This window comes from Homo sapiens, chromosome 1 (assembly GCF_000001405.40).
Source record: "Homo sapiens chromosome 1, GRCh38.p14 Primary Assembly".
NCBI classification, from domain to species: Eukaryota; Metazoa; Chordata; class Mammalia; order Primates; family Hominidae; genus Homo; species Homo sapiens.
Window position 1 is genome coordinate 6,530,864 of NC_000001.11, and position 24,443 is coordinate 6,555,306.

At 47.7% G+C, this 24,443-nt stretch overlaps 1 protein-coding gene and 1 pseudogene across 5 annotated transcripts in view, besides 2 other annotated features; one reads left to right on the forward strand and one right to left on the reverse strand.

Annotated features, from left to right (window-relative positions):
* NOL9 (nucleolar protein 9) overlaps positions 1-23,650 on the reverse strand; it is a 33,167-nt gene extending 9,517 nt beyond the window's left edge. Inside the window, exons 1-9 of one of the 5 annotated variants that reach the window (NM_024654.5) lie at positions 23,244-23,650; positions 19,533-19,752; positions 18,708-18,835; positions 14,182-14,317; positions 13,963-14,059; positions 10,967-11,064; positions 2,417-2,578; positions 1,600-1,897; positions 1,105-1,216 (exon numbers count right to left, since the gene is read on the reverse strand). In NM_024654.5, coding sequence (NP_078930.4) covers positions 1,105-1,216; positions 1,600-1,897; positions 2,417-2,578; positions 10,967-11,064; positions 13,963-14,059; positions 14,182-14,317; positions 18,708-18,835; positions 19,533-19,752; positions 23,244-23,639 — 1,647 coding nt within the window. In that variant the 5' untranslated portion in view covers positions 23,640-23,650. Of the gene's footprint in view, positions 1-1,104; positions 1,217-1,599; positions 1,898-2,416; positions 2,579-10,966; positions 11,065-13,962; positions 14,140-14,181; positions 14,318-18,707; positions 18,836-19,532; positions 19,753-23,243 lie in introns of those variants that run through there. The other 4 variants (XM_005263493.5, XM_047430556.1, XM_047430565.1 and 1 more) reach the window with 4 other exon arrangements.
* RNU6-731P (RNA, U6 small nuclear 731, pseudogene) lies at positions 9,991-10,101 on the forward strand (annotated as a pseudogene).
* Positions 21,461-21,961: an enhancer, noted in NCBI's record as "H3K4me1 hESC enhancer chr1:6612384-6612884 (GRCh37/hg19 assembly coordinates)". NCBI's record gives its function as "activates a minimal SCP1, AML or CMV promoter by ChIP-STARR-seq in naive H9 embryonic stem cells {active_cell/tissue: H9 hESC(naive)}" and the evidence as "EXISTENCE:reporter gene assay evidence [ECO:0000049][PMID:30033119]".
* Positions 23,356-23,615: a silencer, noted in NCBI's record as "silent region_162". NCBI's record gives its function as "represses an Ori minimal core promoter by ATAC-STARR-seq in GM12878 lymphoblastoid cells {active_cell/tissue: GM12878}" and the evidence as "EXISTENCE:reporter gene assay evidence [ECO:0000049][PMID:35858748]".

The following is a 24,443-nucleotide window of genomic DNA, read 5'->3' on the forward strand; positions in this document are numbered from 1 at the left end:
GCACAGACCTGGGCTCAGAGTCGGGCGTCCTGCGGCTTCAGTCCTAGCCTCAACTTTGACTACACCATTTTGGGCAAGCTGACTCCCAGTCCCTGGCCTTGCTTTTACCATCTGTAAAATGGGGATAATAACAGGACCACGGTAAGTAGTGGAGTTACACAGGCTTAGAACAGAGTACTGCACAGAGTAAGCATTTCAGAAGTGCTACCTGCCGCTAGTTTTGTTTTTTCATCATCCCGAATCCTAACACTATCATGCTTTCCTCCCAAAACAATTATTAGCAGCCTGGATTCCAAGTTGCAAATACTCTGGTGGTGGAATCTACTTTTGATGACAGTAATGTGAAGTACTTCTTTTTTTTTTCTTTTAAGTCGGCATCTCGCTCTGTCACCCAGGCTGGAGTGCAGTGTCATGATCTCAGATCACTGCAACCTCCGCCTCCTGGGTTCAAGCGATTCTCCTGCCTCAGCCTCCTGAGTAGCTGGGACTATAGGCACGTGCCACCATGCCTGGCTAATTTTTTGTATTTTTAATAGAGAGGGGGTTTCACTGTGTTAGCCAGGATGGTCTCGATCTCCTGACCTCGTGATCTGCCCGCCTTGGCCTCCCAAAGTGCTGGGATTACAGGTGTGAGCCACCACGCCCGGCTAATGTGAAGTACTTTAAGAGTGTTCTCTGGGTGCCAGGTTCCACTGTGAACGCTCCCTGAATCCACACGTTCACTCTCTGAGGCCCAGTAGCACCCCTGCTCTACAGCGGAAAAGTGGAAGTGCTGGAGCAGCCCCTGCGACCAGATGGGACATTCAAACCCAGCACGGACCCACACTTATCCTCAGTACAGAACCATGGCTAAGAGCAGTCACTGGAGCTGAACTGCCTGGGCCTGCATGCCAGCCCAGCCCCTAGTGCTGAGTCCCTCAGCCTCTCTACACCTCAGGTTCCCCATCTGTAAAGTGGGAATAACGACACAAGCTGTGTCACTGGGATGTTCTGAGGATTAAATGAGCGAGGAGTTATGTAGTGGTTAGGAGAGCGCCCAGCACACAGAAAACCACACAAGTGTGTAACAAAATGAAGACAATTTCTCCTGTAAGTTCAGATTACCTGATAGGGTGTCAGGCTATGTAAAGGAGAAAGTGGTTTGGGCATCGGGGGCTGCAGCTGGCTAAGGTAACTCAAGATGGACAGATCTCGAAGAATTTTGTTATGTGACTCTCTGAAAGGCAAATCACAACAAGGTAAGTAGACATTTAACCCTCAACGGCCACCTCCCACACCTGTCATCACAGAGGTCACATTTTCACAGAGTACTGGGCTTTCCAACACTGCCCCCCCTTGACGGACCCCAACTGGAAAAACAGGAAGTGTAAAGACTCTCCTTTAAGTCAAAGTTGCTGGCAGCCAGAGGTAGGGGACACTTCTGGATATTTCCACTGGGAACATAACAGTTCAGAAAACAACTGGTTCGTCTTTGTGCATGCACAGCTGTGACAGGGACCTGAAGATCTTAGAGGACTCAGGCCTTTAGAGGAATTGAGAATGGCAGGTCTTTTTCGACGGAAGGAAAAATAATTCTTCAGCCAAATGAGGGTTAGTTACCTATTTCTTGGAGTTATTCTGAATGCAAAGTCTGTATAAACACCTATCAGTTTATGTCCAGTGAACTCAACTGGACTCTCTTTTTCTTCATCAGCAAATTCCAAAGCATCTGCAAATGCTGCGAGTCTGAAACGTCGATTTCTCATCTTGGTCTTGCTTTTTGTGTACAAGCCATCCATGTCATCTACATACTGCGGGGTAAGGTCTGGCATATATTTACTGTGGTCAGAGCGGAACTGAACCACGTGGCTGGGAGACAGCAATCGGATCAGATCAATGAGAAGCAGGAGCCCCTGGTCTGTGGGGAAGAGACATTAGCACAGCTGATACACTCAAGAACAGTGACGCGCTCAAGAACAGTGACATGCTCCTACGACAAATGGATGCATTTGTTCTAAGACAAAGAAACCATCAATACGTTGGACTTCGGCTGGGCACAGTGGCTCATGTTTGTAATCCCAGCATGCCTTGACAGGCCAAGGTGGGCGGATCACTTGAGGCCAGAAGTTCAAGATCAGCATGGCCAACATGGCAAAACCCCATCTTTACTAAAACTACAAAAATTAGCTGGGCAGAGTGGCACACGCCTGTGGTCCCAGCTACTCTGGAAGCTGAGGTGGGAGGATTGTTTGAGCCTGGGAGGCAGAGGATGCAGTGAGCCGAGATCACGCCATTGCACTCCAGCCTGGGCGACAGAGTGAGACCCTGCCTCAATTAAAAACAAAAAACAAAACACTGGGCTTTAACGTGAATGTCTGAAACCAACAGTACTCACACTGCCTGTCCTTCCCTTGCAGATGTGCACATGCAGGCTTACCTGAAACCCATCCCATAGTGTTGACGATGAGAGGGGACTCTCTCTTGTAAGCGCTGAACACATATTTCACTATGTCAATATAATTCTCATAGTTGTTTTTACAAGAAGGTTTCCCATAATATACCATCTTCTGTGGAGTCCTCAGGTGAGTGAAAGGTGGTCCTAAAAAGATAAAGATGAGTAATCAGATGAGTAAGGTGAGTGATCAATCCTGGCTACTTAAAAGGTGGTGAGGGTTTTGTTTCAGCCGTTATCACTGACAAAGAACCTTAGGAAATCTGAGACCATCCTACCTACAGGAACACTCTAATTCCATTTTTTGGAAATCTAAGCTTTCAACTTAACACAAAGACATGCTCACTTTCACATAAATGGCTAATGCCAATTATGTCCTAACATGGCCATTCATTCAGCGAACACACAAATCTGCTAACTGCTGGGCTTGTTCCAGTGATTTGGGACATATCTGTAAACAAAACAGACAAACATCCCCACCCTCACAGGGCTTCTATCCCAATGAAAGGGCAATGAATAGCCATGTGTGTCTTATAGCAATACAGCAATGACTCTGTTCTAAGAGGCCCTTCACATATAGCCTCTAATTTTCTTTCTTTTTTTTTTTTTTTAGACAGAGTTTCACTCTTGTTGCCCAGGCTGGACTGCAATGGTGCGATCTTGGCTCACAGCAACCTCCGCCTGCCAGGTTCAAGCGATTCTCCTGCCTCAGCCTCTCAAGTAGCTGGGATTACAGGCATGTGCCACCATGCCCGGCTTATTTTGTATTTTTAGTAGAGACGGGGTTTCTCCATGTTGGTCAGGCTGGTCTTGAACTCCCAACCTCAGGTGATCCACCCACCTCAGCCTCCCAAAGTGCTGGGATTACAGGCGTGAGCCACCATGCCCAGCCAAGAGCCTCTAATTTTCATAACCCTGTGGCAGGTAGTAGTATCCTCATTTTTACAGATGAGGAAATTGGGAAAGAGATCAACTTGAACAAGGTCAGCCAGTCAGTAAACAGCAAGCTGGTTTAAACCCAGAGGGGCCGGCTCCTGCGTTCACACTCCTAATCATGACATATCTCCTCTGGCCAGGGACAGGGAGCTGAGCAGTTCAATGAGGGCAGGGTCTGCACAGTCAGCAGGCCAGTGACCAGGACTGTGTGTGACAGGGTCAGAAGGGAGATGGCCTGGGTCAGTGTGATTGCAGCAAGGCCACTCAACCGTCAGAGTGGCCACTATGATGGGAGCTGCGAATTCAGCCAGCGAGGCTCCTTTCAAGGTTGGGGCCAGTAAGGGCAGGGATGTGGGGTAGCCAGCAGCAGAGGGAGTGGCCTGTATAGTTCAGAGAAGACTGAGCAAATATGCAAATATATTGTAAATAATCATAGGCAGGTTTCTTCCCACCAGAGAACCAACTTACAAATATGAAAGTGAAGAAGGCTAACGAGAGTGACCCCTGGGGTGTTAAGCCAGAATCGGATGAGTCGGAAACTCATGGCTCTCTGTCTCTCTCTCTTTCTCTCTTTTTTCTTTTTATTTTTTTGAGACAGAGTCTCACTCTGTCATCCAGGCTGGAGTGCAGTGGCGCAATCTCAGCTCACTGCAACCTCCACCTCCCGAGTTCAGGTGATTCTCCTGCCTCAGCCTCCCAAGTAGCTGGGATTACAGGCACTCGCCACCACACCTGGCTAATTTTTGGACTTTTTTAGTAGAGATGAGGTTTTGTTATGTTGGCCAAGTAAGTTGGTCTCAAACTCCTGACCTCAAGTGATCCGCCTGCCTCGGCCTGCCACAGTGCTAGGATTACAGGCATGAAGCACCGTGCCTGGTTTTAATGAGACAGATAGAAAAGGTATCTACAGAAGTACAGATCTATATGCATACATACACATATACATATGTATGTTTGGGTTTAAATATGCAATATATGCTAGCTCTGTGCACTGAGGGGATCTAGAAACAATAACACACCAGAGGCAACAAGCGTGCACAGTACTGAAACTCTGGTTTCAATCTCTCTCCATGAAAAGGAGCCAGGGCTCTCTGGAAAAATAGCTCATTCCAAGGCTATGGAAGAGAAAGTGAAAGATGACCCCAGAACTTCCTGTTTTTCCTGAAAGTTAAGACAGTGCTCAAAAAAGGATGGAGCCATGGAGTAGCCAGGGTCAGTACAGCTGGAGAGCCCAGGCCAAGGGTGCAGTCAGGACCTAGGACGTAAGAGGAGCTCAGTAGACAGACAGGTCCTAGGAGGTGGCCGGCAGGGCAGAGCGGCTGCTTATACATAGGGATATTGTACACATAAATTAATGTGTTCAGAATAATGAGAGCCAAGTTTTCTTGTTTTTGTTTATTTTTAAGACAGGGTCAGCTGGGCATGGTGGCTTACACCTATAATTCTAGCACTTTGGGAGGCCAAGGCAGGTGGATCACCTGAGGTCGGGAGTTCGAGACCAGCCTGGCCAACATGGTGAAACCCCACCTCTACTAAAAATACAAAAAATTAGCCAGGCATGGTGGCGGGTGCCTGTAATCCCAGCTACTTGGGAGGCTGAGGCAGGTGAATTGCTTGAACCCAGGAGGCACAGGTTGCAGTGAGCCGAGATCGTGCTATTGCACTCCAGCCTGGGCAGCAAGAGCGAAACTCCATCTCAAAAAAAAAAAAAAAGTTGGAGGTATCACATTCTCTGACTTCAAAAGCAGTTATAATTAAAAGAGCATGGTCCAGACCGGGCTACAAAGTGAGACACTGCCTCTACAAATAATTGTTCAAAAATTAGCCAGGTGTGGGCCGGGTGCGGTAGCTCACGCCTGTAATCCTAGCACTTTAGGAGGCTGAGGCGGATGGATCACCAGGTCAGGAGATCGAGACCATCCTGGCTAAAGTGGTGAAACCCCATCTCTACTAAAAATGCAAAAAATTAGCCGGGCGTGGTGGCAGGCACCTGTGGTCCCAGCTACTCGGGAGGCTGAGGCAGGAGAATGGCGTGAACCCAGGAGGCGGAGCTTGCAGTGAGCCGAGATCACGCCACTGCACTCCTGCCTGGGTGACAGAGCGAGACTCCGTCTCAAATAAAATAAAATAAAATAAAATAAAAAAATAAAAGTTAGACAGGTGTGGTGGCTAATAATAGCTGTCATCCTACCTACTCAAAGTGAGGTAGGAGGATCCCTTCAGCCCAGAAGCTTGAGGTTGCAGTAAGCTATGATCACACCACTGTACTCCAGCCTCAGTGACAGACTGAGATCCTGTCTCAAAGGAAAAAATAAGGCCAGGTGCAGTGGCTCACACTTGTAATCTCAGGACTGTGGGAGGCTTAGGTGGGAGGATCACTTGAGCTCCGGAGTTTGAGAGCAGCTTGGGCAACATAGGGAGACCCTGTTTCTACAAAGTCTAAAAAAAATGGAGTTAGGCTTGGTGGTGCATACCTGTTTTCCCAGCTACCTGCAAGGCTAGCCTGAGCTCAGAAGGTGGAGGATGCAGTGAGCTGTGATTACGCCACTGTACTCCAGCCTGTGTGACAGAGCAAGACCCGGTCTCAATAAATAAATAAATATTTTTAAATTAATTTTTAAGTAAAACAGCATGGCAGGATCAGGCATGGTGGCTCTGCCATCTCCGTGCTTTGGGAAGCTAAGGCAGATCACCTGATTCCAGGAATCCAAGGCTGCGGTGAGCTATGATTGTGCTAATTAATGCACTCCAGCCTGGGTGACAGAGTGAGACACTGTCTCTCTCAAAAACCAAGCACGGTAATGGCATAAAAAAAGACATATCACCCAATGGAACAGCATAGAAAGCCTGGAAATAAACACTGCATTTACAGCCAATTGACTTCTGACAAAGGTGCTAATAACAAAACAAGGGGGAAGGACAGTCTTCAATAAATAAGGCCGGGAAATCTGGTTATCCACGGGGAGAAGAAGGATACTAGATATCCTTATCAAACACCATATACAAAAATCAACTCAAAATGGAATAAAGACTTAAGTATTAAGACCTGAAACTGTAAACCTACTAGAGGAAAAGCTTCATGACACTGGTCTAGGTAACAATTTTTTGGATATGACCCCGAAAACAAAGGTTAACAACAGACAAATGAGATGGCATCAAACTAAAAAGCTTCTGCATAACAAAGGAAAAAATTCCAAAGAGACAACCCTCAGAATGGGAGAAAACATCTGTAAATCATCCATCTGATAAAGAGTTAATATCCAAAATATGTAAGGAACACAAGAAACTCAACAGCAAGAAAACAAATAACCCAACTGAAAAATGGGTAAGGCACTTGTACTGACTTCAAAACTTACCGAAAAGCTATAGTAATTAAAACAATATGATACTGGGTCAAGGACAGACATGTACACTGATGAAACAGAAACGGAACCAGGAAATAAGCCCATACATATAAGATCAAACAATCTTCAAGATAGTCTTTTCAACAAATGGTGGTGGAAAATCTCAATATCTATATTCAAAAGAAAGAAGCTGGACCAATTCCTTACACTATATGAAAATATTAATTCAAAATGGATCAAAAACCTAAACTTAAGAGTAAAAACTGGGCTGGGTGCGGTGGCTCACACCTGTAATCCCAGCACTTTGGAGAGGCCGAGGCAGGTGGATCATGAGGTCAGGAGATTGAGACCATCCTGGCTAACACGGTGAAACCCCGTCTGCACTCCAGCCTGGGCGACAAAGCAAGACTCCATCTCAAAAAAAAAAAAAAAAAAAAAAAAGAGTAAAAACTGAACAAACAAATTCAGGCTGAAAAATTTAAAAATAAAAAAATTTAAAAAGTTAAAAACTATAAAGCTCTTACAAGAAAACATTAGAGACAATCATGATGACATTGGATTTAGTAATGATTTCAAGGATGTAACACCAAAAGCATAGGCAACAAGTGAAAAAATAGATACACTGAACTTCATCAAAATTAAGAACTGTGCATCAAAGGTTATTGTCAAGAAAGCAAAAAAACAACCTACAGAACAGGAGAAAACATTTGCAGATTGTACATCTCATAAAGGATTAATATAAAGAACTACTATTAATACGAAGAACTACTAAACTCAACAAAAAGTAACAATCCAATTCAAAAACATGCAGGCTGGGACCGGATGCCGTGGCTCACGCCTGTAATCCAGGCACTTTAGGAGGCCAAGCAGGTGGATCACCTGAGGTCAGGAGTTCGAGACCAGCCTGGCCAACATGGTGAAACCCCATCTCTACTAAAAATACAAAAATTAGCTGGGCATGGTGGCGGGCATCTATAATCCCAGCTACTCGGGAGGCTGAGGCAGGAGAATCACTTGAACCCAGGAAGCGGAGGTTGCAGTGAACTGAGATCACACTACTTCACTCCAGCCTCGGCACTCCGTCTCAAAAAGGAAAACAAACAGACAAAAAACAAAAAAACAAGCAGGCTGGGTGTGGTGGCTCATGCCTGTAATCCCAGCATTTTGGGATGCTGAGGCAGGTGGATCGCCTGAGGCCAGGAGTTCGAGACCAGCCTGGCCAATGTGGTGAAACCCTATCTCTACTAAAAATACAAAAATTAGCCAGGCGTGGTGTAGTTCCAGCTACTTGGGAGGCTGAGGCAGGAGAACTGCTTGAACCCGGGAGGTGGAGGCTGTAGTGAGCTGAGATCACGCCACTGCACCTCAGCCTGGGCGAAAGAGCAAGACTCTGTCTCAGAAACAAACGAACAAAAAAAACACACAAGCAATATTCAAGGACTGGAACAGACATTTTTCCAAAGAAGATATACAAATGGCCAATAAGTACATGCTCAACATCATTAGTCATTTAAGGGAATGTAAATGAAAACCAACATGAGACATTACTTCACACAAACTCAGACAGCTATAATCAAAATAAGCATTGGTGAGGATACGGAGAAATCAGAACTCTTGTGCATTGCTGCTGGGAATGTAAAATGCAGCTACTGTGAAAAACAGTTTGGCAGTTCTCAAAACATTAAACACAGAACTACCATAAGACCCAGCAATTCCACTCCTCGGTATACACCTGAAAGAACTGAAAGCAGGATATGGAGGAGATATTTGAATACCCATGTTCATAGCAGGATTATTCACGAAAGCCAAAATGTGGAAAGAAGCCAAGTGTCCCTTAACAGCTGAATGGATAAACTAAATGTGATATACACATACAATTGAATAACATCCAGCCATCAAAAAGAATTATTATTATTATTATTTATTGAGGCAGAATCTCACTGTTTGTCACCCAGGCTGGAGTGTAATGGTGCAATTTCAGCTCACTGCAGCCTCTACCTCCCAGGTTCAAGTGATCCTCCTGCCTCAGACTCCCAAATATCTGGGACTATAGGCATGGACCACCAAGCCCAGCTAACTTTTGTATTTTTTTTAATAGGGACTGGGTTTCACCATGCTACCCTGGTCTCAAACTCCCAGGCTCAAGCAATCTGCCGGCCTTGGCCTCCCAAAGTGCTGGGATTACAGGTGTGAGCCATGGCACCTGGCCAGGAATTAAATTTTGATACATGCTACAACATGGATGGATTTTGACAATACTATGCTGAGTGAAATAAGCCAGACAAAGGATAAGTATTGTGTGACTCCACTTACATGAGAATAGCCAAATTCATAGGGACAAAAAGTAGAACAGAGGTGAAGTCTCTAGGGGCTAGGAAAGAGGACAAGAGGAGGACAAGAGGGAGTTAAGGGAGTTACTCTTTTTTTTGAGACAGAGTTTTGCTCTTGCTGCCCAGACTGGAGTGCAGTGGTGAGATCTCGGCTCACCGCAACCTCTCCCTCCCGGGTTCAAGCGATTCTCCTGCCTCAGCCTCCCAAGGAGAGTTATTCTTTTTTTTTTTTTTTTGAGACAGAGTCTTGCTCTGTCGCCCAGGCTGGAGTGCAGTGGTGAGAGCTCAGCTCACTGCAAGCTCCGCCTCCTGGGTTCATGCCATTCTCCTGCCTCAGCCTCCCAAGTAGCTGGGACTACAGGCGCCCGCCACTACGCCTGGCTAATTTTTTGTATTTTTAGTAGAGACGGGGTTTCACCATGTTAGCCAGGATGGTCTCGATCTCCTAACCTCGTGATCCACCCGCCTTGGTCTCCCAAAGTGCTGGGATTACAGGCATGAGCCACCAAGCCCAGCCGAGAGTTATTCTTTAATGAGTACAGTTTTCATTTTGGGATGACAAAAAACCACACCCGACTAATTTTTAAATTTTTTGTAGAGACAGGGTCTCACCACGTTGCAAACACAACAAAAAAGTTGTGGCCAGGCACAGTGGCTCATGCCTACAATCCCAGAACTTGGGAGTCAGAGGTGAGTAGATGACCTGAGGTCAGGAGTTCGAGACCAGCCTGGCCAACATGGTGAAACGCTGTCTCTACTAAAAATACAAAAATTAGCTGGGCATGGTGGCGTGCGCCTGCAGTCACAGCTACTCAGGAGGCTGATACAGGAGAATAGCTCGAACTCAGGAGGCGGGGGTTACAGTGAGCACAGATCACACCACTGCACTCTAGCCTGCCTAGGTGACAGAGCAAGACTCCATCTTAAAAAAAAAAAAGCAAGCAAGGTGGTACTTACTCCAGCAGCACATATACTAAAAAACTGGAATGATACAGAGAAGACTGGCAATGGGCCCCGCACAAGGATAACATATTATTTTTTTTAAGTGATGTAGAACTGTGGATAACTGGTGAATTTTCAATAAAATCTGTAGACTGGTTAACAGCGTTTTTTTTTTTTTTTTTTTTTTTGAGATAGAATCTCACTCTGTTGCCCAGGTTGGAGTGCAGTGGAATGATCTTGGCTCACTGCAACCTCCACCCCTGGGTTCATGCGATTCTCCTGCCTCGGCGTCCCAAGTAGCTGGGACTATAGGCACGTGCCACCAAACCCAGCTAATTTTTGTTTTTTTGGGTTTTGAGATGGAGACTTGCTCTGCCGCCCAGGCTGGAGTCAGTGGCTTGACCTCAGCTCATTGCAACTTCCGTCTCCCGGTCAAGCAATTCTCCTGCTTCAGCCTCCCGAGGAGCTGGGACTACAGGCGTGCACCACCATGCCCAGCTAATTTTTGTATTTGTAGTAGAGATGGGGTTTCCCCATGTTGGCCAGGCTTGTCTCGAACTCCCTACCTCAGGTGATGCACCAGCCTCAGCCTCCCCAAGTGCTGGGATTACAAGTGTGAGCCACCACAGGCAGCCTGATTAACAGTATTGATTCAGTATTAATTTCTTAGTCTCGATAGTTGTACATAAGATGTTGAAATTAGGGAAACATGTGTTTCTAATTTACATAAAACAAAATAATTTTTGCCACCATACCCAACTAATTTCATAAAACAAAATGAGTAGCAGTTCCATTTCCTAAAATGAGAAAGCACCATAGTTTGTTTTTTGGAGGTTAGAGGAACAAGTTATGGAAAGACCATGAGTTTGGTAGGCGCATGTTCCCTTTTAATATTTTATACTCTTCGATTTCTGAGTTTTTGTTAGCATCATCACATATGAATTTCATAAAACCAAGACATTTGAGAAATATGTAATACATACCCAGAACTGGTTCTGTAATATTAAGCAAAGAAATGCAACCAGGAGGGGTAAATTCTGTCTGTCCCAGATCACATTCCAAATAGTCAACGCAGGGAAGACTGCAAATTTTTAAAAAAGAAAAAAGAAAGAAAATCCTAACTAGCTTTACTCAGTAGAAAGGATAATCACACAGTAAAGATTTCATGTGACACGCAGGCATAATCCACCACACACAGCACTTTAGAAGTGAAGCCTCAAGATGACAATCGCTGTTTAAAAACGAGTCCAGAGAAACGCAGTGCAGGCATGGTCACAATGTCCATTTGTAACACGGATAACAACTTGCTCTTTCAGATTTTTTTTTTTTTTTTACGATGGAGTCTCACGCTGTTGCCCAGGCTGGGCTGCAGTGCACAATCTCGGCTCACTGCAAGCTCCACCTCCTGGGTTCATGCCATTCTCCTGCCTCAGCCTCCGGAGTAGCTGGGACTACAGGCACCCACCACCATGCCCGGCTAATTTTTGTATTTTTAGTAGAGACAGGGTTTCACCATGTTAGCCAGGATGGTCTCGATCTCCTGATCTCGTTCGTGATCTGCCCACCTCGGTCCCCCAAAGTGCTGGGATTATAGGCCTGAGGCACTGAGCCCAGCTGAATTTTTTTTTTGAGATGGAGTCCTGCTCTGTCGCCCAGGTTGGAGTGCAGTGGCGCGATCTTGGCTCACTATAACCTCCGTCTCCCGGGCTTGAGCAATTCTCCTGCCTCAGCCTCCCAAGTAGCTGGGATTACAGGCATGTGCCACCACGCCCGGCTAATTTTTTCTATTTTTAGTAGAGACGGGGTTTCACAGTGTTAGCCAGGATGGTCTCGATCTCCTGACCTTGGGATCCGCCTGCCTCAGCCTCCCAAAGTGCTGGGATTACAGGCATGAGCCACCGTGCCCAGCTAATTTTTGTATTTTTAGCAGAGACAGGGTTTCACCATGTTGGCCAGGCTGGTCTTGAACTCCTGAACTCAAGTGATCCACCTGCCTCGGCCTCCCAAAGTGCTGGGATTACAGGCATGAGCTAACACTCAGCCATTTTTCATATAAGTTTATTTTTTCTTGAGACAGGGTGTCACCGAGTCACCCAGGCTGGAGTGCAGTGATCAGAACTCACTGCAGCCTCGACCTCCTGGGCTCAAGCAATACTCCCTCCTTAGCCTCCCAAGTAGCTGGGACCACAGGCACATGCCACCATGCCTGACTAATTTCTAAATTTTTTGTAGAGACAGGGTCTCATTACGTTGCCCAGGCTGGTCCGAAACTCCTGGGCTCACGCAATCCTCCTACCTCAGCTTCCCAAAGTGCTGGGATTACAGGCAGAAGCCACGGTGCCCAGCCTTTTTTTCTTTTTTTTTTTTGAGACAGAGTCTTGCTCTGTCGCCCACGCTGGAGTGCAGCGGCACCATCTCGGCTCACTGCAAGCTCCTCCTCCCAGGTTCACGCCATTCTCCTGCCTCAGCCTCCCGAATAGCTGGGACTACAGGTGCCTGCCACCACGCCCAGCTAATGTTTTGTATTTTTAGTAGAGACGGGGTTTCCCCGTGTTAGCCAGGATGGTCTCGATCTCCTGACCTCGTGATCTGCCCGCCTCAGCATCCCAAAGGCTTGGGATTACAGGCGTGAGCCACTGCGCCCAGGCTTTATTTATTTATTTATTTATTTAGAGACACAGTGTCACTCTGTTGCCCAGGCTGGAGTGCAATGGTGTGACATAGCTCACTGTAGACTCGAACTCCTTGGCTCAAGCCAGCCTCCCACTTTTGCCTCCCAAAGTGCTGCGACTGCAGATGTAAGCCACCATAACCCACCTCTGTTGTTGTTGTAAAGGTAAAATTTCAGATCTGGCATGGTGGCTTATATCTGTAATCCCAGCACTTTGTGAGGCCAAGGTAGGAGGATTGCTTGAGCCCAGGAGTTCAAGACCAGCCTGGGCAACATGGCAAGATCCTCTGTCTACAAAAGCAAAACAAACAAAAAAATTAGCCAGAGGCCGGGCATGGTGGCTCACGCCTGTAATCCTAGCACTTTGGGAGGCTAAGGCGGGCAGATAACCTGAGGTCAGGATTTCGAGATCAGCCTAACCAACATGGTGGAACCTTGTCTCTACTAAAAATACAAAAATTAGCCGGGTATGGTGGCGCACGCCTGTAATCCCAGCTACTCGGGAGGCTGAGGTAGGAGAATCACTTGAACCTGGGAGGCGGAGGTTGCAGTGAGCAGAGAACATGCCATTGCACTCCAGCCTGGGTGAGTGAAACTCTGTCTCAAAAACAAACAACTAGCCAGGTGTGGTGGTGCGCTAGTGTGGTCCCTGCTACGTGGGAGGCTGAAGTGGGAGGACTGCTTGAACCCAGGACGTCAAGGCTGCAGCAAGCCCTGTTTGTGCCACTACACTTTTTGCTGGGCAACACAGTCAGACCCGGTCTCAAAAAAAAAAAAATTAAGCGAAAATTCCCAGGAGTTTGAGACCAGACTGGGCAACATAGCAAGACCTCATCTCTACAAAAATAAAAAAATTAGCCAGGCATGGTGGCCCATGGCTGTAGTCTCAGCTGCTCAGGAGGCTGAGGCAGGAGGATCACTTGAGCCCAGGAGTTCAAGACTATGAGGTATGACTGTGCCACTGCACTCCAGCCTGAGGGAAACCCTGTCTGAAAACACACACACACACACGCACGCACACACGCACCCCCCCCCCGCCCCCCACCCCAGAACTTATAAATACAGACTCTGAGACCAAGTGTCTCCTCTTGGAAGTCTGCCTGCAGGTAAGGCAAAGTCAGCCTACGCTAGAGCATTGTCACATACTGCAAAGCAGACGGCAGTGAGGACCAGATGCTTCAGCTGGGCAGCTTTAGACCTGTATGTAATCTCTAGCTAGAAGCCAAGAAGCATTCCCTCCAAATCAAAAATCCCACTTCATGACAAAAACCTAGCAATGTGTCAAAGCCATAAGAAAAGCACTCTTACCTATTTAACAAATGGTTAATCAGGTATCTATTAAATGTTGACTTTCCAACATCCTGGGATCCACAAACTAGAATGACAGGGCAGCCATCTACTTCTTCTGAATGGGAAACAAACATTGATCGCTAGAATTAGCCGTCTTCCTTGGACTCGAATTATGACTAATCTTCCTCTGGGGGTCTGGTGGACAGACATTCAGGGTGATCAATGTGTATTACTCACCACAGGAAACATTGACTAACTCTTCCAGGGCTGAAAGGGTACTCTCAGTTAACTGAAGGCCTTTCCTTTTTTTCTCTCTTCTGATGCCAACAGACCTCAAGGCTAAATATTCAGGTTTAATCTGGGGAGTTGGACTCTGAAATCAACAATTTAAACTTTAAGGTGAAAAAATGCATATTTTTTTCTTCAGTACTAAATTAATCAAGCCTCACACAGTTGTGAGCCAGAGAAGATAAATTGTTTCCTCCCTTTGTCTCCTGCCCCAAAATCCAACCCATCAACAAGTGTTGCCAACTGTATTCCTGAAGTTATCCACGTCTATTTTCAGTTTCTGCTTTCTCTCGAGCCTTCACTGCCTCCGCAGGAGACTCCAGAGAAAAAGAAAATGCCTGGTAAGACATGACTGCACAGGAAACATTCAGCAGGAGGCCCTGGCTCTAGACCAGGTGAGTGATGTAGAATCAAGTCAAGGCAACCTCTGAAAACATAAAGCAAAAACACACGGACAGAACATATGCAAACAGAGTTGAAAGGAGGGAGAAGACAGGTCTGTGAAGTCCAGGACTGGGAAAGCAACCCAAGGAAAGGAAGAGCAGGCCCTTGCTGAGGCAGGTAAGGCTCAGTTGGAACCAGCTCACCACAGAAGAGGATGAAGGAAGGGCCCCGTCCTCTTGCAATTCATCAACACTGAAAATAAAGATACCATAAAGAAATGTGAAGCAGGCTGGGCGCAGTGGTGCACGCCTGTAATCCCAGCTACTTGGGAGGCTGAAGCACAAGAATCGCTTGAACCCAGGAGGTGGAGGTTGCAGTGAGTCAAGACTGTGGCACTGCACTCCAACCTGGGCGACAGAGGGAGACTGTGTCTGTGTCTCAAAAAAAAAAAAAAAAAAAAAAAAGAGAAGCAGCCTAGTGTGAGGCTTCCTATCGGCAATGCTGGATCTTAGAAAACAACAGAACAAGGCCTTCAACAATTTGAGAAAAAAGTCTGTTGAACCAACCATTCTACACTGTGTGCAATTATCAATCACTGAGGGCAAATCAAGAATATCTAACAAAATTAGATAATCAAGTTTACTATCTCCCTTATGTGAAAAAACAACTCCAGAATCTACTGACACATCCAGAGGGTGGGATAGGGAGGGAAGTATCCAAGAAAGAGCATAAGAAATATGAACAGTGGTGGTGAAGTCCCAGAAAAACAGATAAAGCTGAAAATAAATGAAAAAAGAATGTGGCTGCCCCATAGCATCTGGAACATTCACTTTCAGTAACCAAGGCTTGAGAACAGGCAATTCCATCTCCTCCTCTGCAGTCCTGGTCCAGCTACTGGACTCTGCAAAAGACTAAAAGGCAATCACAACAGTCCGTTCGCTGTCCCACTCTCATTTCTTCTCTCCTTTCACTTCAAATTCCCCACACCCACCTCGTATCTATCTGCTTCCCACACAGTGACGACCTTGATTTCATTTCCCAGTGCAGCAGGAAATAATCAGAGGACAACTTCTACTTCCTCTGGCCCTCTCCAAGGGACTTCCTCTAGCCACTATGAATGACCTGGCTATGCTCCTAAGGCCACATGATGCCAGAACCGGACCCATCCCTGGTAGCCAACTTACATAGTTCCAGCAGCCTCTCCTCTCTCTGCTGCATGGTTACCTCCCCCTTCCTCTGGATCATTCCCATCTGCCATGTTCCAGCATGTTTTTTTCATCCATCTTAACAAAATTACAAAACTCTCCTGATCATACTTATCCCTGCAACTAGTGCTTCATTTCTTTTCTTCCCTTTACAGCTAACTTCTACCAAAGCAAAATACTTTACTACTAAGCCTGTGAGTCCCTCTCCGCCCAGGCTCTTGACCCCATTCCAATCAGGCTACTTCCCGGCCTCTACAGCCAGCGCTTTCTCAGGTCTCACCTGACCACCAGCAGCTTTCGCCACCGCTGTTCAGTTAACTCTCGTTTAAAGACTTCCTGACCTACAGGACATCACACACTGGGTTTTCCACCAAAACCGATGACTATCTGCTGCTCCCTCATCTTTGCCTGGACCTCTTCTTGGAGTGCCCCAGGGCTCAGAGCTGGAACCATCTTGTTTCTATCTATTCAACTCCATCAGCATTATTATCGCATCTGGTGGCCTGGGTATCCTCTCTGCTGAAGGCTCCCATATTTACACCTCCAAACTCTTCCCTGAACTCCAGGCCCACATATTCAACTGCCCACTTGACATGTCCAGCTGATGTCTACCAGGCATCTCAAGGTTAACAAATGGAAACCCACTCCTCCTGCAGTGACCCCATCCCAGTTAATGGCAACTACATGCACCCCAGTCGTTAAGCCAAAAACCTGCTGTGATTCCTTGATTCTTCCTCACCCCTCACATATCCAGTCTGTCTGCCAATCCTGGAGATTAGACTCCACCTACTGGCCCATGGGAGACAATTATAGTAATAGTACTTAAGGAAATGGAAAAAAAAAAAAAAGAACTTAAGGAAATGAATAATACGGTCAGCAAAAATTTAGAGGTGAGGCCAGACACGGTGGCTCACACCTGTAATCTCAGCACTTTTGGAGGCAGGTGGATTGCTGGAGTCCAAGAGTTCGTGACCAGCCTGGGCAACATGGCAAAATCCTATCTCTACAAAAACTACAAAAATTAGCCGGGAGTCATGGCGTGTACCTGTAACCCCAGCTACTGAGAGGCCCCGGTGGGAGGGTCACCTGAGCCCGGAAAGGTTGAGGCTGCAGTGAGCTGAGCTCCTGCCACTGCACTACAGCCTGGGCAACAGAGACTTTATCTCAAAAATAAAAATAAAAGCTCTCTTCTTGGGACGTTGTCTACACGAAGTGAGAATGGTCCAGCATTTGACACACCGTCATAGGCTTTCCTACAATACATCATCATAGGCTTCCTACAATACACCGTCATAGGCTTCCTACAATACAGGCTCTAACAAAACTAGGCTGTCCCGAACCCCTGGTAATAAAATTGTTTGTCTCTGTACCAAGAAGGTTGGGAAAACACCAAAATTTGCATTGGCGTGGCCCAGGCAGGCTTCGAGGGGTCCGTGCCATGAGACTTAAAGTTCTTTTTTTTTTTTTTTTTTTTTTTTTGAGACGGATTCTCACTCTGTCTCCCAGGCTGGAGTGTGCAGTGGCGCAATCTCAGCTCACTGCAACCTGCGCCTCCCAGGTTCCATCGATTCTCCCGCCTCACCTCTGGAGTAACTGGGATTACAGGTGCATGCCCCATGCCCTGCTAATTTTGTGTATATTTAGTAGAGATGGGGTTTTGCCATGTTGGCCAGGCTGGTCTTGAACTCCTAACCTGAAGTGATCTGCCCACCTCAGCTTCCCAAAGTGCTGGGATTACAGGCGTGAGCCACCACGCCCCGCCAAGACCTAAAGTTCTTAAGAGATTGTCCAAAACAAAAACCATGTCAGCAGAGCCTACGGTGGTTCCATGCGTGCTAAACGTGTTCAGGACAGGATCAAGCGTGCTTTCCTTCTCGAGGAGGAGAACATCATTGTAAAAGTGCTGAAGGCACAAGCACAGAGTCAGAAAGCTAAATAAAAAATGAAGCCTTTTTGACTAATAAAAATTAAGACTCGTTAAAAATTAGAGGTAAGGAAAGAGATAAAAGAAAATATAAGTTCATTTAAACTACTCATTCATAGTTTAGAGACAATTTATATTATCTCAAATTAATAAACTGAAATATAAAGACAACCATTAAAAACCCCAAAAAAGGCCAGGCATGGTGGCTCACACCTGTAATCCCAGCACTTTGGGAGGCAGAGGTGGGCAGATCACCTGAGGTCAGGAGTTTGAGACCAACCTGGCCAACATGGTGAAACCCCGTCTGTACTAAAAACAAAAAAATTAGCTGGGCATGGTGGCATGCACCTGTGGTCCTAGCTACTTGGGAGGCTGAGGCAGAAGAATCACTTCATCCCGGGAGGCAGAGGGTGCAGTGAGCCGAGAGATCACACCACTGCACTCTAGCCTGGCAACAGAGAGAGAGTCCATCTCAAAACAAAGAACAAAAAAACAAAAATTAGCCGGGCATGGTGGCAGGCGCCTGTAATCCCAGCTACTCGGGAGGCTGAGGCAGGAGAATTGCTTGACCCTGGGAGGCGGGGTTGCAGTGAGGTTGAGGTCGCACCACTGCACTCCAGCCTGAGTGACAGAGTGAGACTCCGTCTCAAAAAAACGAACCAACCAACCAACCAACCAACCAAAAAAGCAGGGCTGGAGCATGGTGTTAATAAAAACCCAAAAAGCACTTAACCAACTACGATATAAAATGGTGGCTCAGGTATGAAACTAAGGAGGGGAGGATGAACATTTTTCACGATACACCTTTCTATAATAGTTTCCGTATACACGTATTACATTCTGTAGGACTGAGAGCACTAGATAGACCAACTGTTCTTCCAAGACAACATCCTACATAGTCATTTGAAATCACTGTTTTGGTGCAAGTAATTAGCAAAACTCTGAATGAAAACGGGTTCTACCTCTTGCACAAAAATGTAGGATGAACCCGGATAGCTGGTTATGAAGTTTACAGTGGCAGTTTTCAGATGTTCTAGCAACACAATGGAACACTGAGGAGAAAAATTCTGCATCGACCAACGCCTGTCATCTGTAAAGAGAAAAATAAACCACCTTAGAAGCAGTAACTTCATTACATTCCACGCCCTTTAGGACTGCCATCTCCTCGGCTAAACTATAAACATTAGGAGAGTAGGAATTACGGTTGAGAGCCTTTTTCAGGGGGCCGTACTACATACTAAGAACACATCTGGGAGGAGAAGTCAATCGAGGTTTGCCACATAATAATTCTGTGGCCTTGAACAATTTTTCTTGTCAGTAAAATGGTGATAACAATAGTACTTTCACTCTCAGGACCCTCGTAAGGGTTTATATAGATACCACAACGTCCTTAGCACACTGCCTAGACCATAGTAAGCATCTAAAATAATTTTTTTTTTTTGAGATGGGGTCTCGCTCTGTTGCCCAGGCTGGAGTGCAGTGGCGTGATCTCGGCCTACTGCAAGCTCCGCCTCCCGGGTTCAAGCGATTCTCCTGTCTCGGCCTCCCGAGTAGCTGGGACTACAGGCGCCTGCCACCACGCTTGGCTAATTTTTTGCATTTTTAGTAGAGACAGGGTTTCACCATCTTAGCCAGGATGGTCTCGATCTCCTGACCTCATGATCCGCCCGCCTTGGCCTCCCAAAGTGCTGGGATTATAGGCGTGAGCCACCGCGCCTGGCCCTAAAAATTATGAATTAGCCTTATTACAGTAGGCCCTCAGTAAATTACCCAGTTCTTTTCATTACCAAGGTTAAGATGAGATTTGAGCAAATTCCGGGCTTCCCTTTTCAGTTCCTTCTTGCTTTTCTCAGGCTGTGAGTAGTGAAGTGCATGGATACTCAAGCAAGAGTGGGTATACACAGAGAAGATGTCTTGGGCAGGCTGGCCTTGGCTGATGGTAAAACCAAATACCTGCACCTGGCCATAGAGGCAAGTCACACGACAGATCCCACTAAAAGTAAAACCCTAGCAGGGAGAGAAAACAGAAAAAACATTATAGATCATGTCACTAATGACTGAAACATTCTAAAATCTTTTTTTTTTTTTTTTTGAGATGGAGTTTTGCTCTTGTTGCCCAGGCTGGAGTACAATGGCACAATCTCGGCTCACCGCAACCTCCACCTCCCAGGTTCAAGCAATTCTCCTGCCTCACCCTCCCTAGTAGCTGGGATTACAGGTAAGTGTCACCACGCCCGGCTAATTTTGTACTTTTAATAAAGACAGGGTTTCTCCATGTTGGTCAGGCTGGTCTTGAACTCCCGACCTCAGGTGATCCATCCACCTCGGCCTCCCAAAGTGCTGGGATTACAGGCGTGCGCCACCGCACCTGGCCAAATTCTAAAATCTTAACTTGCTATTCACACATCAAAAGGCAGGTAAGGCCAGGCACAGTGGCTCATGCTTGTGATCCCAACACTTTGGGAAGCTGAGACAGGAGGATCACTTGAGCCCAGAAGTTCAAGATCAGCCTAGGCAACAGAGTGAGACTTCTCCTTACAAAACATTTAAAAATTAGCAGGGTGCAGTGGCATGCCTCTGTGGTCCTAGCTACTTGGGAGGCTGAGGTGGGTAGACTGCTTGAGTCTCGGAGGTAGAGGCTGCTGTGAACCGTAATTACACCACTCCACTCCATCAGTAATAAGTATTGGGCCAGGCACGGTGGCTCACGCCAGTAATCCCAGAACTCTGGGAGAAGGAGGTGGGGGGATCACTTGAGTGAGGCCAGGAGTTTGAGACCAGCCTGGATAACATGGCAAACCCCCCTGCACCCCACCCCCGCCACCACCATCTCTACTAAAATTACAAAAATTAGCTGGGCATGTGCCTGTAATCCCAGCTACTCCAGAGGCTGAGGCATGAGAATCGCTTGAATCCAGAGGCAAAGGCTGCAGTGAGCTGAGATCATGCCAGTACACTGCAGCCTGGGCGACAGTGATACTGTCCCAAAAATAAATAAATAAATAAAAATTAAATAAAATTAAAAAATTTAAAAGGCTGCAGCCATAAAAAGGGATGAGATCATGTCCTTTGCAGGGACTTGGATGGAGCTGGAAGCCGTTATCTTCAGCAAACTAATTCAGGTACAGAAAATCAAATATCGGCCGGGTGTGGTGGCTCACGCCTGTAATCCCAGCACTTTGGGAGGCCGAGGCGGGTGGATCACAAGGTCAGGAGATCAAGACCATCCAGGCTAACACGGTGAAACCCCGTCTCTACTAAAAAAAATACAAAAAACTTAGCCAGGTGTGGTGGCGGGCACCTGTAGTCCCAACTACTCGGGAGGCTGAGGCAGGAGAATGGCGTGAACCCGGGAGGCGGAGCTTGCAGTGAGCCCAGATTGCGCCACTGCACTCCAGCCTGGGCAACAGAGCGAGACTCCATCTCAAAAAAAAAGAAAGAAAATCAAAATATGGTATGTTCTCACTTATCAGTGGGATTTGAACCATGAGAACACATGGATACATGGTGGGTAACAACATACACTGGAGCCTGTGGGGGTCTGGGGAAGGGCGTCAGGAAGAATGGATGCTGGGCTTAATACATAGGTGATGTGTTGATCTGTGCAGCAAACCACCAAGGCACCCATTTAACTACGTAATAAATCTGCACACCCTGCGTATGTACCCTGGAACTTAAAAGTGCTGGGATTACAGGCGTGAGCCACCACACCCGGCCGATATTTGATTTTCTGTACCTGAATTAGTTTGCTGAAGATAACGGCTTCCAGCTCCATCCAAGTCCCTGCAAAGGACATGATCTCATCCCTTTTTATGGCTGCAGCCTTTTAAATTTTTTAATTTTATTTAATTTTTATTTATTTATTTATTTTTGGGACAGTATCAGCTTACCACAACCTCCACCTCCCAGGTTAAAGCAATTCTCCTGCCTCTGCCTCCAGAGTAGCTGGGATTACAGGCGTGTGCCACCACATCTCAAACTCCTGACCTCAGGTGATCCGCCCACCTAGGCCTCCAAAAGTGCTGGGATTACAGGCGTGAGCCACTAGACAGGGTTTCGCCATATTGGCCAGGCTGGTCTCGAACTCGCTACCTCAGGTGATCCACCCACCTCAGCCTCCAAAAGTGCTGGGATTACAGGCGTGAGCCACTGTGCCCAGCTCTCTCTTTTCCTTTTCCTTTCTTTCTTTTCCCCTCCCTCCTTCCTTTCTTCCTTTCTTTCGAGACGGAGTCTCACTCTGTCGCCCAGGCTGGAGTGCAATGGCGTGATCTTGGCTCACTGCAACCTCCAGCTCCCGGGTTCAAGCAAGTCTCCTGCCTTAGCCTCCTGAGTAGCTGGGATTACAGGCGTGTGCTACCATGCCCAGCTAATTTTTGTATTTTTAGTAGAGATGAGGTTTCACCATGTTGGTCAGGCTGGTCTCAAACTCCTGACCTCAGATGATCTGCCAGCTTCGGCTTCCCAAAGTGCCGGGACTACAGGCCTGAGCCACCGCGCCTGGCCCATACTTTATATTTTTAAACTAAGATCATACCCCATGGCAGCTACAGAGAAAGCATGGTGACCGTGAACTCGGCTCTGTGCTCCTGGTTCAGACAGACTCTACCACTCTGTCCTTTTAAAGACCCACAGCTTGCCAAGTCTCTTCCAGAACTTCCTGGGTTTTGCCTTCCCTCCTGCATTAGACAGGGAATCTCCAGGAATGGCATCCACGTTAAGAATCAGGCTGCCTGAGTTCGACTCCTAGCTCTCCCTCTACTGTGTAAGTTACCCAACCTCAGTCTCCTCGTCTGTAAACACTTAGAGAGAGGGACAACTACTCCGTAAGAGAGCTGGATGTTTAAATGGGTTCAAAGCCTAAAACACTTTTGGAACCCTTAAATCCTGGAATTTCTGAGCTCTCAGTAATTGCAACCTTTTTTTTTTTTAACTATTAAAATCCCTTTCAGAGTTCCAGGTGCGGTGGTTCACACCTGTAATCCCAGCACTTTGAGAGGCCGAGGCGGGTGGATCACAAGGTCAGGAGATCGAGACTATCCTGGCTAACATGGCGAAACCCCGTTTCTACTAAAAATACAAAAAATATAGCCGGGCGAGGTGGCACGCGCCTGTAGTCCCAACTACTCCGGAGGCTGAGGCAGGGGAATCGCTTCAACCCGGGATGCGGAGGTTGCAGTGAGCCGAGATTGTGCCACTGCACTCCAGCCTGGGGGACAGAGTGAGACTCTGTCTCAAAAAGAAAAAGAAAGAAAGAAAACAAAACAAAATAAAGTCCCTTTAGCTCGTAAGGCCTAGGGACCCCTTAGCAGGGTACCTGTTACCCTGCTGCTCAGGGGAGCCTAGTTGCCACCAACCATCAAGAGGATGGACTTGAATCCGACTGGCAGCCAGAGAACAGGCCCGGGGGACCACGGTCCTCTCCTACCCTGCAGCTCTCCCGGGGCTGCCTCTCCAGCCCTCCCTGCCCTCGGGGACTACTACCGGCGCCCCCCACCTACCTGCTCGACCGGCAGCAGCAGCAACGCGCGGCCGGGGCCCACGGGCCGCACCGGTGGGATGAGGAGAGGCCGGTGGCAACTCGAGGCGGATTCGAGTTCGGGTTCGGACTCGGGTTCGGAGGCCGGGGTCGGGCTAGGGATCGGGCTGGGGGTCGCGGTGTTGGGTCTCCGGGCCGCCGCCGCGCGCGACACCTGGCGGGCTCCCTCCCTCCAGTCCACGCCGGACGCCTGGGCTTGCAGTAACCGCCACCGTAGGCGCCGCCGACCGCACCAGCGCAGGCTCCCGAGCCGGCGGCGGGGCCGGCGGCTGAGGATGAGCTGGGGCCGGGCCTTGCGGACCCGCAGCCAAGTGGAACGGCAGGAACCCCGCTTTAGCAGCAGTCCCGAGTCCGCCATGCTGGGTCCTCAGGGCCTACCGCGCGAGAATCTCGCGAGATCCCGTCGGTCCGCCCCGCTGCCCTCCCAGCTGCCGAAAAGAGGGGCCTCCGAGCCGCCGGCGCCCTCTGCCGGCAACCTCCGGAAGCACACTAGGAGGTTCCAGCCGATCTGGTCGAGGGGCTCCACGGAGGACTCCATTTACGTTACGCAAATTCCCTACCCCAGCCGGCCGGAGAGAGAAAGCCAGAAACCTCGCGACCAGCCATGGGCCACCTCTCCGGAAAAACACCGGGATATTTTTTTTCTCCTGCAGAAAAAGCTTTAGGATTGGCAGTTTAAACAAAACATGTCTATTTGCATACCTTCGGTTTGCATGCATTTGTTTCGAAGTGAGCAACCCTGGGTAACAAGGCGAAAGTATATGACAATTTGCTCAGAATCTTAATGTCAGAAAACTGGAGACTGGGGCAGGGGGGTGTCGACTCAAAGCTGTGTCTCATTTAGTAAACTGAGGCCCAGGTAAAAAGTTCTGAAACCTCGCAACACCCGGAGAAATTGTGTTCCAGCCTCCCACCTCGCCCCAAAATGCCAGAGCTCCTTTTCTAAGCCAGGTGAAGTCACAGAGCGTGGACAGAACCCACAACCGTCCAGAGGAAGGGTCACTGGGTGCCACCTGGTTTGCATCTGTGCCTTCGTCCTGCCCAGTTCCTGAGTGGGACCGCAGGCCCGGAATGTCAAGGCAAACAGTCCTGCTTCAGCCACTGGGCTCCAGTCCCACCCCTTTTGGGGGCCTGAAGTTAGGAAGCATCCGGCAGCTGCCTT